Source organism: Homo sapiens, chromosome 7, assembly GCF_000001405.40.
Source record: "Homo sapiens chromosome 7, GRCh38.p14 Primary Assembly".
Classification (NCBI taxonomy): Eukaryota; Metazoa; Chordata; class Mammalia; order Primates; family Hominidae; genus Homo; species Homo sapiens.
The window spans coordinates 42865509-42879710 of record NC_000007.14 but is presented as its reverse complement, the minus strand read 5'-3'; the positions used below and the strand labels follow the sequence as shown (position 1 = coordinate 42879710).

The 14202-nt window shown below is 44.9% G+C and overlaps 1 long non-coding RNA gene across 1 annotated transcript, besides 4 other annotated features; it reads right to left on the bottom strand.

Moving 5' to 3' along the window:
- Positions 1195–1716: an enhancer, noted in NCBI's record as "H3K27ac-H3K4me1 hESC enhancer chr7:42917594-42918115 (GRCh37/hg19 assembly coordinates)". NCBI's record gives its function as "activates a minimal SCP1, AML or CMV promoter by ChIP-STARR-seq in primed H9 embryonic stem cells {active_cell/tissue: H9 hESC(primed)}" and the evidence as "EXISTENCE:reporter gene assay evidence [ECO:0000049][PMID:30033119]".
- Positions 2946–3877: an enhancer, noted in NCBI's record as "OCT4-NANOG-H3K27ac hESC enhancer chr7:42915433-42916364 (GRCh37/hg19 assembly coordinates)". NCBI's record gives its function as "activates a minimal SCP1, AML or CMV promoter by ChIP-STARR-seq in naive H9 embryonic stem cells {active_cell/tissue: H9 hESC(naive)}" and the evidence as "EXISTENCE:reporter gene assay evidence [ECO:0000049][PMID:30033119]".
- Positions 3099–3188: an enhancer, noted in NCBI's record as "active region_25902". NCBI's record gives its function as "activates an Ori minimal core promoter by ATAC-STARR-seq in GM12878 lymphoblastoid cells {active_cell/tissue: GM12878}" and the evidence as "EXISTENCE:reporter gene assay evidence [ECO:0000049][PMID:35858748]".
- Positions 8559–9139: an enhancer, noted in NCBI's record as "OCT4-NANOG-H3K27ac hESC enhancer chr7:42910171-42910751 (GRCh37/hg19 assembly coordinates)". NCBI's record gives its function as "activates a minimal SCP1, AML or CMV promoter by ChIP-STARR-seq in naive H9 embryonic stem cells {active_cell/tissue: H9 hESC(naive)}" and the evidence as "EXISTENCE:reporter gene assay evidence [ECO:0000049][PMID:30033119]".
- On the bottom strand, positions 10412–13382 carry LOC107986735 (uncharacterized). The gene is made up of 3 exons (XR_001745013.2): positions 12882–13382; positions 11898–12194; positions 10412–10657 (listed from the first exon to the last, which is right to left on the bottom strand). It is a non-coding gene; the product is annotated as an uncharacterized LOC107986735 (long non-coding RNA).
- Between the last annotated feature and the right edge of the window lie 820 nt (positions 13383–14202).

The window sequence follows — 14202 nt, the reverse complement described above, 5'->3', positions numbered from 1 at the left end:
AATAATTTGAGATTTGTCAACTTGTTATATGAGCCTAGGATATGCCTCTGTCTTGTGGTCTATGGTAAATGTCTTATGTGCAATTTATATATGGATATATAGATACACAGGTGTGTTGAAAGTTTCCCAATTTCCATGTGTGATGATTAGCTATGTGTTAACTTGACTGGGCCACATGATGCCCAGATAGTTGGTTAAACACTATTTCTGGGTATATCTGTGAGGGTGTTTCTGGGTGAGATTCACATTTGAAGGGGTAGACTGAGGAAAGAAGATTGCTGTCTCTATTTTGAGTGGGCCTCACCCAATTTGTCAAAGGCCTGAATAGAATAAAAGGCTAAGTAAGAAAGAGTTCTTTCTCTGCTTGTCTTCAGTCTGGGACACTGGTCTTCTCCTGCCTTTGACTCAGACTCAAGACTGGAACTGATACCATCAGCTCTTCTGGGTCTGAACTTCTCAGCCTCCAGTGTTGCATGAGTATTCTTTATAATAAATCCCTTTTTTTCTCTGCACACACACACACACACACACACACACACACACACCCTATTTGCTCTGTTACTCCCTGACTAATATATCTTTCATATTTAAAAAAATGTTATTCAACTAAGTCCTAGTCAGCTAACTCCCAAATATGGATCTTCTAGATCACTATTTCTATTGGTTATTTGTTCTCTTAATTATCTATAACATTTTCCTTTTTTATGTGCCTCATAATTTTTTTTGCAGACATTGTAGATTATAAGTTTGGGAGGTTCTTCCTCTAAAGATTTGTTAAATTATTTTCTGGTGGACAACTCATTTACTTGTGGATTACTTGATCCTGTCAAAGTCTGGTTTTCTGGGTAGCATTACTTTCAGCTTTGCTGTTAGTGCTACAGCACAGCCCTTATACTAAGGTGTAGTCTTTATGTTATAGGATCTTTGGGGTGTTGCTTTTCTGACTGGAAACCTGTGGCCAGTGGTGCCTTTGCTTGAGTTTACTCGATCCTGCGGGGCTTGCTCTGTCCACTCAGCCTGGCAGGTGGTGCTCAGCTCACACTACCAGCCTGGATCCCATGACTGCCAAGGGAGACTGTGTGGAGCAGCAAGGGCTGTGTGAGTGAGCCTGGTGTCCAGCCACTGTGCAGTCAGACATGCTGGCTGCTGCAGCGGGGAGGGCAGCTCCAGGTGCTGGCCCTCTGCAAGGCTGCGGCTGGACCAGGTGCACCACAGGCAGCTTCTACAGCTGGCACCAGGGAACATGGGTATGCCTGGAAGCTTGGAGACACCAGGAACCACAGAGCTCTGAAGAGGAAGTCACAGACCTGGCTCAGACGGTTCCCAGGTCTGGGCTCCCTGAAGGGCTGCAGCTCTTCTCTCCTTCTCTTTGCCTGCAATGTGGTGATCTAGGGGCATGTTTCAGCCCTGTTTGTCTTATAGCTCTTTCAGCCCCACTACTCGACAGGTCCCAAGTTCTTCTCCTGTGACCAGGAAGAATGAGGTACACAGAAAAGTGGAGGGTGAGCAAGATAAAGAGGAACTTTATTGAGCAATAGGGTAGTTCCTTTCCACAACCAGAGTGTCCTGACAAGTGTTTAGCTCTTAGCAGAGAGGAGACCCTGAAGTGGGAAGCTCCTCTCTGCAGGCAGGTGATCCCATTGTCTGCCTAGCTCTCAGCAGTGTGGCGGCCCTGGAGTGGGTTGCTTCTCTCTGCAGCTGGTTGTCCTGATGTCTGCTCTGCTCTGGCTGATCTCAGGGCTTTTATGGGCCTCAGAGGGGAGGAAGTGTGTGCCGATTGGTCCATGGGTGGCCATGGGTAAGCCTGGAGAAGGCACCACAAGTTCCCACTCTGGTCTGCAGGACTGGCAGCCTGGTCCTCAGCCTTCAGACCCTCCCTGGCCTGAAGGTGGGGCCTCACCAGGAACCTGCCCACTTTGTTGCTCAATGAAGCTCCTCCTCTTTTCAGGGTAGAATTATTGATTGAGTTATATATATATAAGTTATAAGTTATATGATATATATTATATATAATATATATATATATATATATAAAACTCAATAATTCTATCCTTAAGGAGTGGGGAGTGCAGGAGGGGGACTGGTGGGCAGAGGGCTGTGGTTCCTAAATCTCCAGTTCAAGAAAAAGGCAAAGAGCCCTTGAGTCTTCTACAGTATTTCATGGTGGATGAAAAAGAAAGATTTCTCAGAATTACCTCAGAACATGAAGACAATGATAATAGCAACAATAGTAGTAATCATAGCAGTATCAATGGTAAAAATGTCCTCTCTGGGTCTACTTTAATCATTTATAAAACAATGAGAATAAACTAAATAATCCTTAACTTCAACTTAGCTCTGAAGATCCATTGTTTCTCATTTTTCTTTTCTTTTTCTCAAAAAGAGGAGCATAGAGGTGGTTTAGTGATCTTATGTTAATCCCTTAGTATTCACCAGTCATTTGTGAACATGTCCAGTGTGAAAGATGTCGTTCTTGATGCCTGGAAGACAGAGGTGAATGAAGTTATCTTGTTTCTGGTTCTCATGGAGCTTTATATGTATCGCAATAATTATATTCTTCAGGACTGGGATGAGTGTGACTAATTATTCATAACATGTAATTTATAAATTCTAGGCTGAATGAATTGCTATCGTTTTGGTCATGAGGTCAAGATACTTAAAAATCAATTTGATATGTGAACATATTTTCCTAACTTTGGTGCAATTAAGAATGCTAGAAATAAAAAGGACTTTGGAGATCATTTTTATTCAACCTATCTGATGTTACAGGTAAGGACAGAGTTCTCTTTTTCAGTCTGGGTATTTTCACCAAGCATGGGGTCTCTGAGCTTCATTGGTGTTGCACGTATTAGCAGCATATTCCCTTTGATGGCTAATTAAATATGTAGGTATTTACCATGATTTGTTTATCCCTTGACTCATCTATCAACACTGGGACTGTTTCTGGGTCTTGGCTATTGTGAGTAAGTTCTCTATGAAACTGTTTAAAAAAAAATTAGTTCTAGGGAAATGAAGGAGTAATAGAACCAGAGTTCAGGCTTGGTAATTACCAGCTCTTCCCACTGGGAGGCAGCACATGTAAAAGTCAGAGCTTGGCCTCTGGAGTCAGGCCCTAATTTGATTGTTAGTTTTGCCACGATCTGTGTGATCCGGGGCAAGCGACTTAACTTCACCAAGCTTTAGTTTTCTTATCTGTAAAATAATAATAGTATCTTTGCTTTAGACCTGTTATGAGGATTAAAATGAAATAAGATATACTGTACTGCATTTAGAGGAGAATTTGGCATAAAATAAAGACTTAGTAGCTGTCAGGCCTCTGAGCCCAAGCCAAGCCATTGCATCCCCTGTGACCTGCATGTATACGCCCAGATGGCCTAAAGTAACTAAAGAATCACAAAAGAAGTGAATATGCCCTGCCCCACCTTAACTGATGACATTCCACCACAAAAGAAGTGTAAATGGCTGGTCCTTGCCTTAACTGATGACATTACCTTGTGAAAGTCCTTTTCCTGGCTCATCCTGGCTCAAAAAGCACCCCCACTGAGCACCTTGCGACCCCCACTCCTGCCCACTGAGCACCTTGCGACCCCCACTCCTGCCCGCCAGAGAACAAACCCTCTTTGACTGTAATTTTCCTTTACCTTCCCAGAATCCTATAAAATGGCCCCACCATTATCTCCCTTCACTGACCCTCTTTTCGGACTCAGCCCGCCTGCACCCAGGTGATTAAAAGCTTTATTGCTCACACAAAGTCTGTTTGGTGGTCTCTTCACACGGACGCGCACGAAATTTGGTACCGTGACTCGGATTGGGGGACCTCCCTTGGGAGATCAATCCCCTGTCCTCCTGCTCTTTGCTCCGTGAGAAAGATCCACCTATGACCTCAGGTCCTCAGACCGACCAGCCCAAGAAACATCTCACCAATTTCAAATCCGGTAAGCGGCCTCTTTTTACTCTCTTCTCCAACCTCCCTCACTATCCCTCAACCTCTTTCTCCTTTCAATCTTGGCGCCACACTTCAGTCTCTCCCTTCTCTTAATTTCAATTCCTTTCATTTTCTGGTAGAGACAAAAGAGACATGTTTTATCCATGAACCCAAAACTCCGGCGCCGGTCACGGACTGGGAAGGCAGCCTTCCCTTGGTGTTTAATCATTGCAGGGATGCCTCTCTGATTATACACTCATGTTTCAAGGGTGTCAGACCACACAGGGACGCCTGCCTTGGTCCTTCACCCTTAGTGGCAAGTCCCGCTTTCCTGGGGCAGGGGCAAGTACCCCTCAACCCCTTCTCCTTCACCCTTAGCGGCAAGTCCCACTTTCCTGGGACAGGGGCAAGTACCTCTCAACCCCTTCTCCTTCAGCCTTAGCGGCAAGTCCCGCTTTTCTATGGGGCAAGAACCCCCAGTCCCTTATTTCCACACCCCAACCTCTTATCTCTGCACCCAATCCCTTATTTCCGTGCCCCAACCTCATATCTCTGCGCCCCAATCCCTTATTTCCGTGCCCTGACCTCTTATCTCTGCGCCCCAACCCCTTTTCCCACTTTTCTGGCAGGTAAGAACCCCTGAACCCCTTCCCTCCGTTTCTCTACTCTCTTTTCTCTAGGCTTCCTTCCTTCACTATGGGCAACCTTCCACCCTCCATTCCTCCTTCTACTCCCTTGGCCTGTGTTCTCAAAAACTTAAAACCTCTTCAACTCACACCTGACCTAAAACCTAAATGCCTTATTTTCTTCTGCAATGCCGCTTGACCCCAATACAAACTCGACAGTAGTTCCAAATAGCCAGAAAATGGCACTTTGAATTTTTCCATCCTGCAAGATCTAAATAATTATTGTCATAAAATAGGCAAACGGTCTGAGGTGCCTGATGTCCAGGCATTCTTTTACACATCAGTCCCGTCCTAGTCTCTGTGCCCAGTGCAACTCGTCCCAAATCTTCCTTCTTTCCCTCCCGCCTGTCCCCTCAGTACCAACCCCAAGCGTCGCTGAGTCTTTATAATCTTCCTTTTCTACAGACCCATCTGACCTCTCCCTTCCTCCCCAGCCTGCTCCTCGCCAGGCCGAGCTAGGTCCCAATTCTTCCTCAGCCTCCGCTCCTTCACCCTATAATCTTTTTATCACCTCCCCTCCTCACACCTGGTCCGACTTACAGTTTCGTTCCGTGACTCGCCCTCCCCCACCTGCCCAGCAATTTACTCTTAAAAAGGTGGCTGGAGCCAAAGGCATAGTCAAGGTTATTGCTCCTTTTTCTTTATCCCAAATCAGATAGCGTTTAGGCTCTTTTTCATCAAATATAAAAACCCAGCCCAGTTCATGGCTCGTTCGGCAGCAACCCTGAGACGCTTTACAGCCCTAGACCCTAAAAGGTCAAAAGGCCATCTTATTCTCAATATACATTTTATTACCCAATCTGCTCCCGACATTAAATAAAACTCCAAAAATTAAGTTCCGGCCCTCAAACCCCACAACAGGATTTAATTAACCTCGCCTTCAAGGTGTACAGTAATAGAAAAAAGTTGCAATTCCTTGCCTCCACTGTGAGACAAACCCCAGCCGCATCTCTAGCACACAAGAACTTCCAAACGCCTGAACCTCAGCGGCCAGGCATTCCTCCAGAACCTCCTCCCCCAGGAACTTGTTACAAGTGCCAGAAATCTGACCACCAGGCCAAGGAATGCCTGCGGCCCAGGATTCCTCCTAAGCCATGTCCCATCTGTGCGGGACCCCACTGGAAATCGGACTGTTCAACTCACCTGGCAGCCACTCCCAGAGCCCCTGGAACTCTGGCCCAAGGCTCTCTGACTGACTCCTTCTCCGCTTAGCGGCTGAAGACTGACGCTGCCCGATCACCTTGGAAGCCCCATAGACCATCATGGACGCCGAGCTTTGGGTAACTCTCACAGTGGAAGGTAAGTCAGTCCCCTTCTTAATCAATACAGAGGCTACCCACTCCACATTACCTTCTTTTCAAGGGCCTGTTTCCCTTGCCTCCATAACTGTTGTGGGTATTGACGGCCAGGCTTCTAAACCTCTTAAAACTCCCCAACTCTGGTGCCAACGTAGACAATACTCTTTTAAGCACTCCTTTTTAGTTATCCCCACCTGCCCAGTTCCCTTATTAGGCTGAGACACTTTAACTAAATTATCTGCTTCCCTGACTATTCCTGGACTACAGCTATATCTCATTGCCGCCCTTCTTCCCAATCCAAAGCCTCCTTTGCGTCCTCCTCTTGTATCCCCCCAACCTTAACCCACAAGTATAAGATACCTCTACTCCCTCCTTGGCGACTGATCATGAACCCCTTACCATCTCATTAAAACCTAATCACCCTTACCCCACTCAACGCCAGTATCCCATCCCGCAGCACACTTTAAAAAGATTAAAGCCTGTTATCACTCGCCTGCTACAGCATGGCCTTTTAAAACCTATAAATTCTCCTTACAATTCCCCCATTTTACCTGTCCTAAAACCAGACAAACCTTACAAGTTAGTTCAGGATCTGCGCCTTATCAACCAAATTGTTTTGCCTATCCACCCCATGGTGCCCAACCCATATACTCTCCTATCCTCAATATCTGTCTCTACAACCCATTATTCTGTTCTAGATCTCAAACATGTTTCTTTACTATTCCTTTGCACCCTTAATCCCAGCCTCTCTTCGCTTTCACTTGGACTGACCCTGACACCCATCAAGCTCAGCAAATTACCTGGGCTGTACTGCCGCAGAGCTTCACAGACAGCCCCCATTACTTCAATCAAGCCCAAATTTCTTCCTCATCTGTTACCTATCTCGGCATAATTCTCATAAAAACACACGTGCTCTCCCTGCCAATCATGTTCGACTGATCTCTCAAACCCAAGCACCTTCTACAAAACAACAACTCCTTTCCTTCCTAGGCATGGTTAGTGTGGTCAGAATTCTTACACAAGAGCCAGGACCACACCCTGTAGCCTTTCTGTCCAAACAACTTGACCTTACTGTTTTAGCCTAGCCCTCATGTCTGCGTGCAGCAGCTGCCGCTGCTTTAATACTTTTAGAGGCCCTCAAAATCACAAACTATTCTCAACTCACTCTCTACAGTTCTCATAACTTCCAAAATCTATTTTCTTCCTCATACCTGACGCATATACTTTCTGCTTCCTGGCTCCTTCAGCTATACTCACTCTTTGTTGAGTCTCCCACAATTACCGTTGTTCCTGGCCCAGACCTCAATCCGGCCTCCCACATTATTCCTGATACCGCACCTGACCCCCATGACTGTATCTCTCTGATCCACCTGACATTCACCCCATTTCCCCACATTTCCTTCTTTCCTGTTCCTCACCCTGATCACGCTTGATTTATTGATGGCGGTTCCACCAGGCCTAATCGCCACACACCAGCAAAGGCAGGTTATGCTATAGTACAAGCCACTAGCCCGCCTCTTAGAACCTCTCATTTCCTTTCCATCGTGGAAATCTATCCTCAAGGAAATAACTTCTCAGTGTTCCACCTGCTATTCTACTACTCCTCAGGGATTATTCAGGCCCCCCTCCCTTCCCTACACATCAAGCTCGAGGATTTGCCCCACCCAGGACTGGCAAATTAGCTTCACTCAACATGCCCTGAGTCAGATAACTAAAATACCTCTTAGTCTAGGTAGATACTTCCACTGGATAGGTAGAGGCCTTTCCTACAGGGTCTGAGAAGGCCACTGCAGTCATTTCTTCTGTTCTGTCAGACATAATTCCTCAGTTTAGCCTTCCCACCTCAATATAGTCTGATAACAGATGAGCCTTTATTAGTCAAATCAGCCAAGCAGTTTTTCAGGCTCTTAGTATTCAGTGAAACCTTTATATCCCTTATGGTCCTCCGTCTTCAAGAAAAGTAGAATGGACTAAAGGTCTTTTAAAAACACACCTCATCAAGCTCAGCCACCAACTTAAAAAGGACTGGACAATACTTTTACCACTTTCCCTTCTCAGAATTCAGGCCTGTCTTCGGAATGCTACAGGGTACAGCCCATTTGAGCTCCTGTATAGACGCTCCTTTTTATTAGGCCCCAGTCTCATTCCAGACACCAGACCAACTTAGACTGTGCCCCAAAAAACTTGTCATCCCTACTATCTTCTGTCTAGTCATACTCCTATTCACCGTTCTCAACTACTCATACATGCCCTGCTGTTGTTTACACTGCCGGTTTACACTGTTTTTCCAAGCCATCACAGCTGATATCTCCTGGTGCTATCCCCAAACTGCCACTCTTAACTCTTGAAGTAAATAAATAATCTTTGCTGGCAGGACTATGCTGAATCTCCTTAGGCACTCTCTAATCAGATATCCTGAGTCGTCCCAATTCTTAGACCTTTTATACCTGTTTTTCTCCTTCTGTTATTCCATTTAGTTTCTCAATTCATCCAAAACCGTATCTAGGCCATCACCAATCATTCTATACGACAAATGTTTCTTCTAACATCCCCACAATATCACCCCTTACCACAAGACCTCCCTTCAGCTTAATCTCTCCCACTCTAGGTTTCCACGCCGCCCCTAATCCCGCTTGAAGCAGCCCTGAGAAACATCGTCCATTCTCTCTCCATACCACCCCCCAAAAATTTTCGCCGCCCCAACACTTCAACACTATTTTATTTTTCTTATTAAGAAGGCAGGAATGTCAGGCCTCTGAGCCCAAGCCAAGCCATTGCATCCCCTGTGACCTGCACTTATACGCCCAGATGGCCTGAAGTAACTAAAGAATCACAAAAGAAATGAATATGCCCTGCCCCACCTTAACTGATGACATTCCACCACAAAAGAAGTGTAAATGGCTGGTCCTTGCCTTAACTGATGACATTACCTTGTGAAAGTCCTTTTCCTGGCTCATCCTGGCTCAAAAAGCACCCCCACTGAGCACCTTGAGACCCCCACTCCTGCCCACTGAGCACCTTGCGACCCCCACTCCTGCCCGCCAGAGAACAAACCCTCTTTGATTGTAATTTTCCTTTACCTTCCCCAAATCCTATAAAATGGCCCCACCCTTATCTCCCTTCACTGACTCTCTTTTCGGACTCAGCCCACCTGCACCCAGGTGATTAAAAGCTTTATTGCTCACACAAAGCCTGTTTGGTTGTCTCTTCACAAGGACGGGCATGAAAGTAGCCTTGTTATTTTACTCCCAGTACCTTTTTTTTTTTTTTTTTTTTTGAGACGGAGTCTCTCTCTGTCGCTCAGGCTGGAGTGCAGTGTTGTGATCTCGGCTCACTGCAAGCTCCGCCTCCCAGGTTCACGCCATTCTCCTGCCTCAGCCTCCCGAGTAGATGGGACTACAGGCGCCCGCCACTACGCCTGGCTAATTTTTTTTTTTTTGTATTTTTAGTAGACACGGGCTTTCACCGTGTTAGCCAGGATGGTCTGATTCTGCTGAACTCATGATCCACTCGCCTCGGCCTCCCAAAGTGCTGGGATTACAGGCGTGAGCCACCGCGCCCGGCCATTACTCCCAGTACCTTTTAAATGTAATTATTTTAATTTTCATGCTAATTACTTATTTTTTGAATAATGTGTACATTTGCATTATATGTACTATATATGTCCCACACACACATGCTTCTTCCTTGTCTATAATTTTGCATCTCAACTACTTTTCATTTTGAGAATTCCAAATTTTTTCTGCTTTTTTGCTTGAATCCTAAGAAAAATTGCACCTCTTTCCTGGTAATAATTCTGGCAATAATTCAGGCATGACAATTAGAGAACCTAGTGAGGCTTGACGGTGGCACCCCGTGACCAAGCACCTCCCCAGAACAGGAGACCTAACAATTTGTCACGGGGGCTATTTTCAGTTTCTATGAAGAACACATTGGCCAGGCTACCTTACCTGTATGTCTGTGTATTAAGAAGTGGGGGAGGGCAGATGGAGTTGGGGAAGATGGGACTTTTGTGGGCAGGTAGATTGGATGTGGGGGAAGTTTCAGTGCTGATGGTAAACAGTTCAAAGACAACTCAGATGTTCCAATCAACCTTGGTCCCCAGTTCAAGACTGCTCATCTGTGCATATGCTGCTTGTCATTTGTTCAACGAATTCTGAGTTTGAACTCTGCCTAATTGTGCATGAACCCTCAGGGTAGACAGTGGTGGAAAAGATGACTCAGCCTCTCCTTGGTCACCCGCTGTAAATGTCACCCAGAGAAAGCGTGGGAGACTATGTGGTGTTTATTTCTTAAATATTGACTTTAGTTTTGACTCTAGTTAAAGTTCTTGTCTTTGTTAACTCTCTTTCCTTCTAACCTTATTAACTACCTTAAATCTTTTTTTGAATCAAAGTGGCGATGCAAGTAAAATAAGCCCTTATTAAATAGTCTGTGTGATTTTAATATCCATCAATTACTAAAGACATGTATGACAAAAAGAGTGAATCATACAATGTTGCTAGTGGAGCACTTTTGACTGTGATGCATGGTTTTATTTTCTATAATGACAAAAGGAAATGAAAATATTTGGCAAATAAGGAGAATTGAAGGGGGAACATTCATCTCACAATATTTATATTCTCTGTGCTATTTTCAGACTTCATGTCTTTGTCATTGGTTCTAGTTTGCTCCATTATTAATACCACCATCTGTAAGATTCTAGCTCTCTTGGCATTTCTTCTGTTCAAGAGTCTTGTGATCTCAGTCTATGAAATAAAAACAAATAGGGGATGTTTGAGTTGGGACCAGAAAGTAAATTCATTTCTGCTTATTTAAAGGGGTGCCTTGTGCATTCTCTGCTGCACCTCTTTCTCTTTCTATTTTACAATGTGTACTGATCTAAGGGAACACATTATTCTCTTCCTACATGATTTCTGGAATACAGAACATTGGTTCAAAAGAAAAGATGTGACAGTAGGGCATGATTACAACTCTAAAGAAAACTTTGCAGGAAGGAAATAAAATGGGAAATGCTAATAGAGCCTATTCATTTCTGAGAAATGAGTTAGAATACATTTTGGCTGCAGGAGAAGAGTTGTTTATTGTTCCACATTTATCAAAAGTGACAGGATGGAAGCTGTATTAGGCCATTCTTGCACTGCTATAAACATCTGAGACTGGGTAATTTATTAAAAAAGGAGGCTTAATTGGCTCATGATTCTGCAGGCTTTAGAGGAAGCATGGTGCTGGCATCTGCTTGCCTTCTGGGGAGGACTCTGGAAGCTTACAATCATGGCAGAAAGGGAAGGGGGAGCAGGCACGTTACATGGTGAAAGCAGGAGCAAGACAGAGGGGAATGGGGGGTGATGGATCCTTTTTTTTTTTTATTTGAGACAGAGTCTCACTCGGTTGCCCAGGCTGGAGTGCACTGGTGCAATCTTGCCTCACTGCAACCTCTGCCTCCTGGGTTCAAGCAATTCTCCTGCCTCAGCCTCTGGAGTAGCTGGGATTACAGCTGCCTGCCACCATGCCTGGCTAATTTTTTTGTATTTGTTTTTAGTTGAGACGGGGTTTCACCATGTTGGCCAGGCTGGTCTTGAACTCCTGACCTCAGGTGATCCACCTGCCTCAGCCTCCCAAAGTGCTGGGATTACAGGTGTGAGCCACCATGTTTGGCCCCGGTGCCACACACTTTTAAACGACCAGATCTGGCAAGAACTCACTCACTCTTGCAAAGACAGCATCAAGCCATGAGGGATCCGCCCCCACAACCCAATCACCTCCCACTAGGACCCACCTCCATCATTGGGAATTACAGTTCAACATGGGATTTGGGCAGGGACAAATATCCAAACTATATAAGGAGCCAAGCAGAGTGGTGGACTGTAAAATGTGCATGAATGAAAAGGAAAAACAGACAAAATAGGGAAATCCAAATGAACAAAATTTGCACTGGAAAGTTAACCAACAGCCTCTACATAAAGTCAAGAAGCAGAGCATGCTTACTGGCCATGGAATCCTCACATGGGTTGCTGGTTTCTCAGCAGGGTGCTGGACTCTAAGTGCCAGTCATCCAGTCAGTAACACTGCTAGACCCTGATTGCTGAGTTGGCTCTTGAATGGTCTCTTCAATGGAGAAGGTAAATGGTCTTCCTCTAGTTACTTCATTTGCAGTTAGCTCTATAACCAAGGGCAATCCTCCATTAAGTGTTGGCTAGTTCCTTGACTAGGTGGAATAGTTATTTCTTCTGTAAGTATTGGACTTGGACTTGTGTTTCTCAGGTGGCAAAGTTGGAGATAGCTCTGGAAAACAAGACCTACGGCAAATGAAATGCGGCTCTATATAAGATTGCTTTCATCTTTCTGTTGAGTTTGCCCCATTTTTAAATCAAGGCAATTAATAATAAAAAGGGGATAAAGACTCAAGTTATCTTAGGAAAAATTTATTTCCACATAAAAATCATGCCTAGATCACAGTGATTCAGTTTATGTAAGCTCTCCCATTCCCTTCTATGAGAATTGCTGTTGGCCTCCAAATGTTAATACACAAATGATCAGATAATCAGGCCTGGAATTTACCAGATTCACATATCTTAAGGCATCTGATACATTAAATCCAGACACTATCTTTCCATAAAACCAGCATTTGTATTTGAATGTGTCCTAGGAAGGAAAATGATCCTTTCTATGTCTGGAGATCAACAGAAATACATAATAGTCAACCCAACACAGATAAATTCCTAAAACTTTTACTTTTCCATGCTCAAATATGTTCAGACAGTGGTTTAGATGACTGAAGAGTTCTATGCTTAGCCAGAAATGGGTCTGCGGCAAACCAGCAATGGAAAATAAACACTTTTCATTAAGGAAGACACAAAATCATACTGAACACATTTTCTTAAGTTAAAAAGTATAGAACAACAAGTTATCCACTTCAGAATCAACATAGCAAAATACAAGCCAATAAAGAGAGAAAAGGATTGCAATTACCTTGCCATTTTATTAATTCCATCCAAATCACAGCTTTTAGGCCTGAAAGGTTCAAAATATCCCTCAGTGTCTTGTCAAGTTATCTTAAGCATGAGGGATAGAAAGGAACCAAGGCACCAGCTGCCTGCTAAGTCAGTTGGTCAAATTTAAAGAGACTCAGTCCTTTGGTATTAGTATTCTCCACCCATCATGATATGTTGTTGCAAACATGAATAGATCTTGTAAGTGAAAGTTAGAGTCCTCCAGTTCGATCACCACAGAAAAATCTCGATGTTTCAGTTCATTCCCACGGGGAAGATCTTGGGTGAAGTGGGGGCTGGAGGGGTGACTGGCAAGATAGCAATGACAGAGAAGGTCAGGAGATGGGATGGGCTGGAGGATCAGGGTGACCTCTCAGGGGGCTTCTGCTGGAGGCCCTGGGCCAAGGAATTCCACTCTGATGGCACAAGCTGAGCTTTCTTAAAGTCAGCAGGAGCTGGCTGTGAAATAGACCTGACTGCATTCTGGCACAGGGAAGTTCTCTTTCTCCTTCTTTATTCAGACCAGTGATAAGTGGGGCATAATTTAAAGATAGCTGGAACTCATTTTAAACTATATATTTTTTCTTTCTTTTTTTTTTGAGATGGGGTCTTGCTCTGTTGCCTAGGCTGGAGTGCAGTGGCACGATCATAGCTCAGTGCAGCCTTGAACTCCCAGCTCAAGTGACCCTCTGCCTCAGCCTCCTGAGTAGCTGGGAATACAGATGTGTGCCACTACCACACCTGGCTAAATTTTTAATTTTTTGTAGAGAAGGGGTCTCATTGTGTTGCTCAGGCTGGTCTTGAACTCCTGGGCTCAAGCAATTCTCCTGCCTTGGCCTCCTGCTGGGATCTCCTGCTGGGATTATAAGCATGAGCCGCTGCACTCAGTTTTTTTTTCTTTAAAAACTGATTCAGAGATGCCCAGGCAAGATGGCCGAATAGCAACAGCTCTGGTCTGCAGCTCCCAGCTAGACCAACGCAGAAGGTGGGTGATTTCTGCATTTCCAACTGAGGTACTTGGCTCATCTCATTGGGACTAGTTAGACAGTGGGTGCAGTGCACGGAAGGCAAGCTGAAGAAGCGGGGGGTGTCACCTCACTTGGGAAGCACAAGGGGTCAGGCAACTCCCTACCTAGCCAAGGGAAGCCATGAGGGACCTTGCCATGAGGGACAGTGCTATCTGGCTCAGATACTATGCTTTTCCCATGTTCTTCACAACCCACAGACCAGGAGATTCCCTTGGGTGCCTACACCACAGGGGCCCTGGGTTTCAAGCACAAAATGGGGTGGCTGTTTGGGCA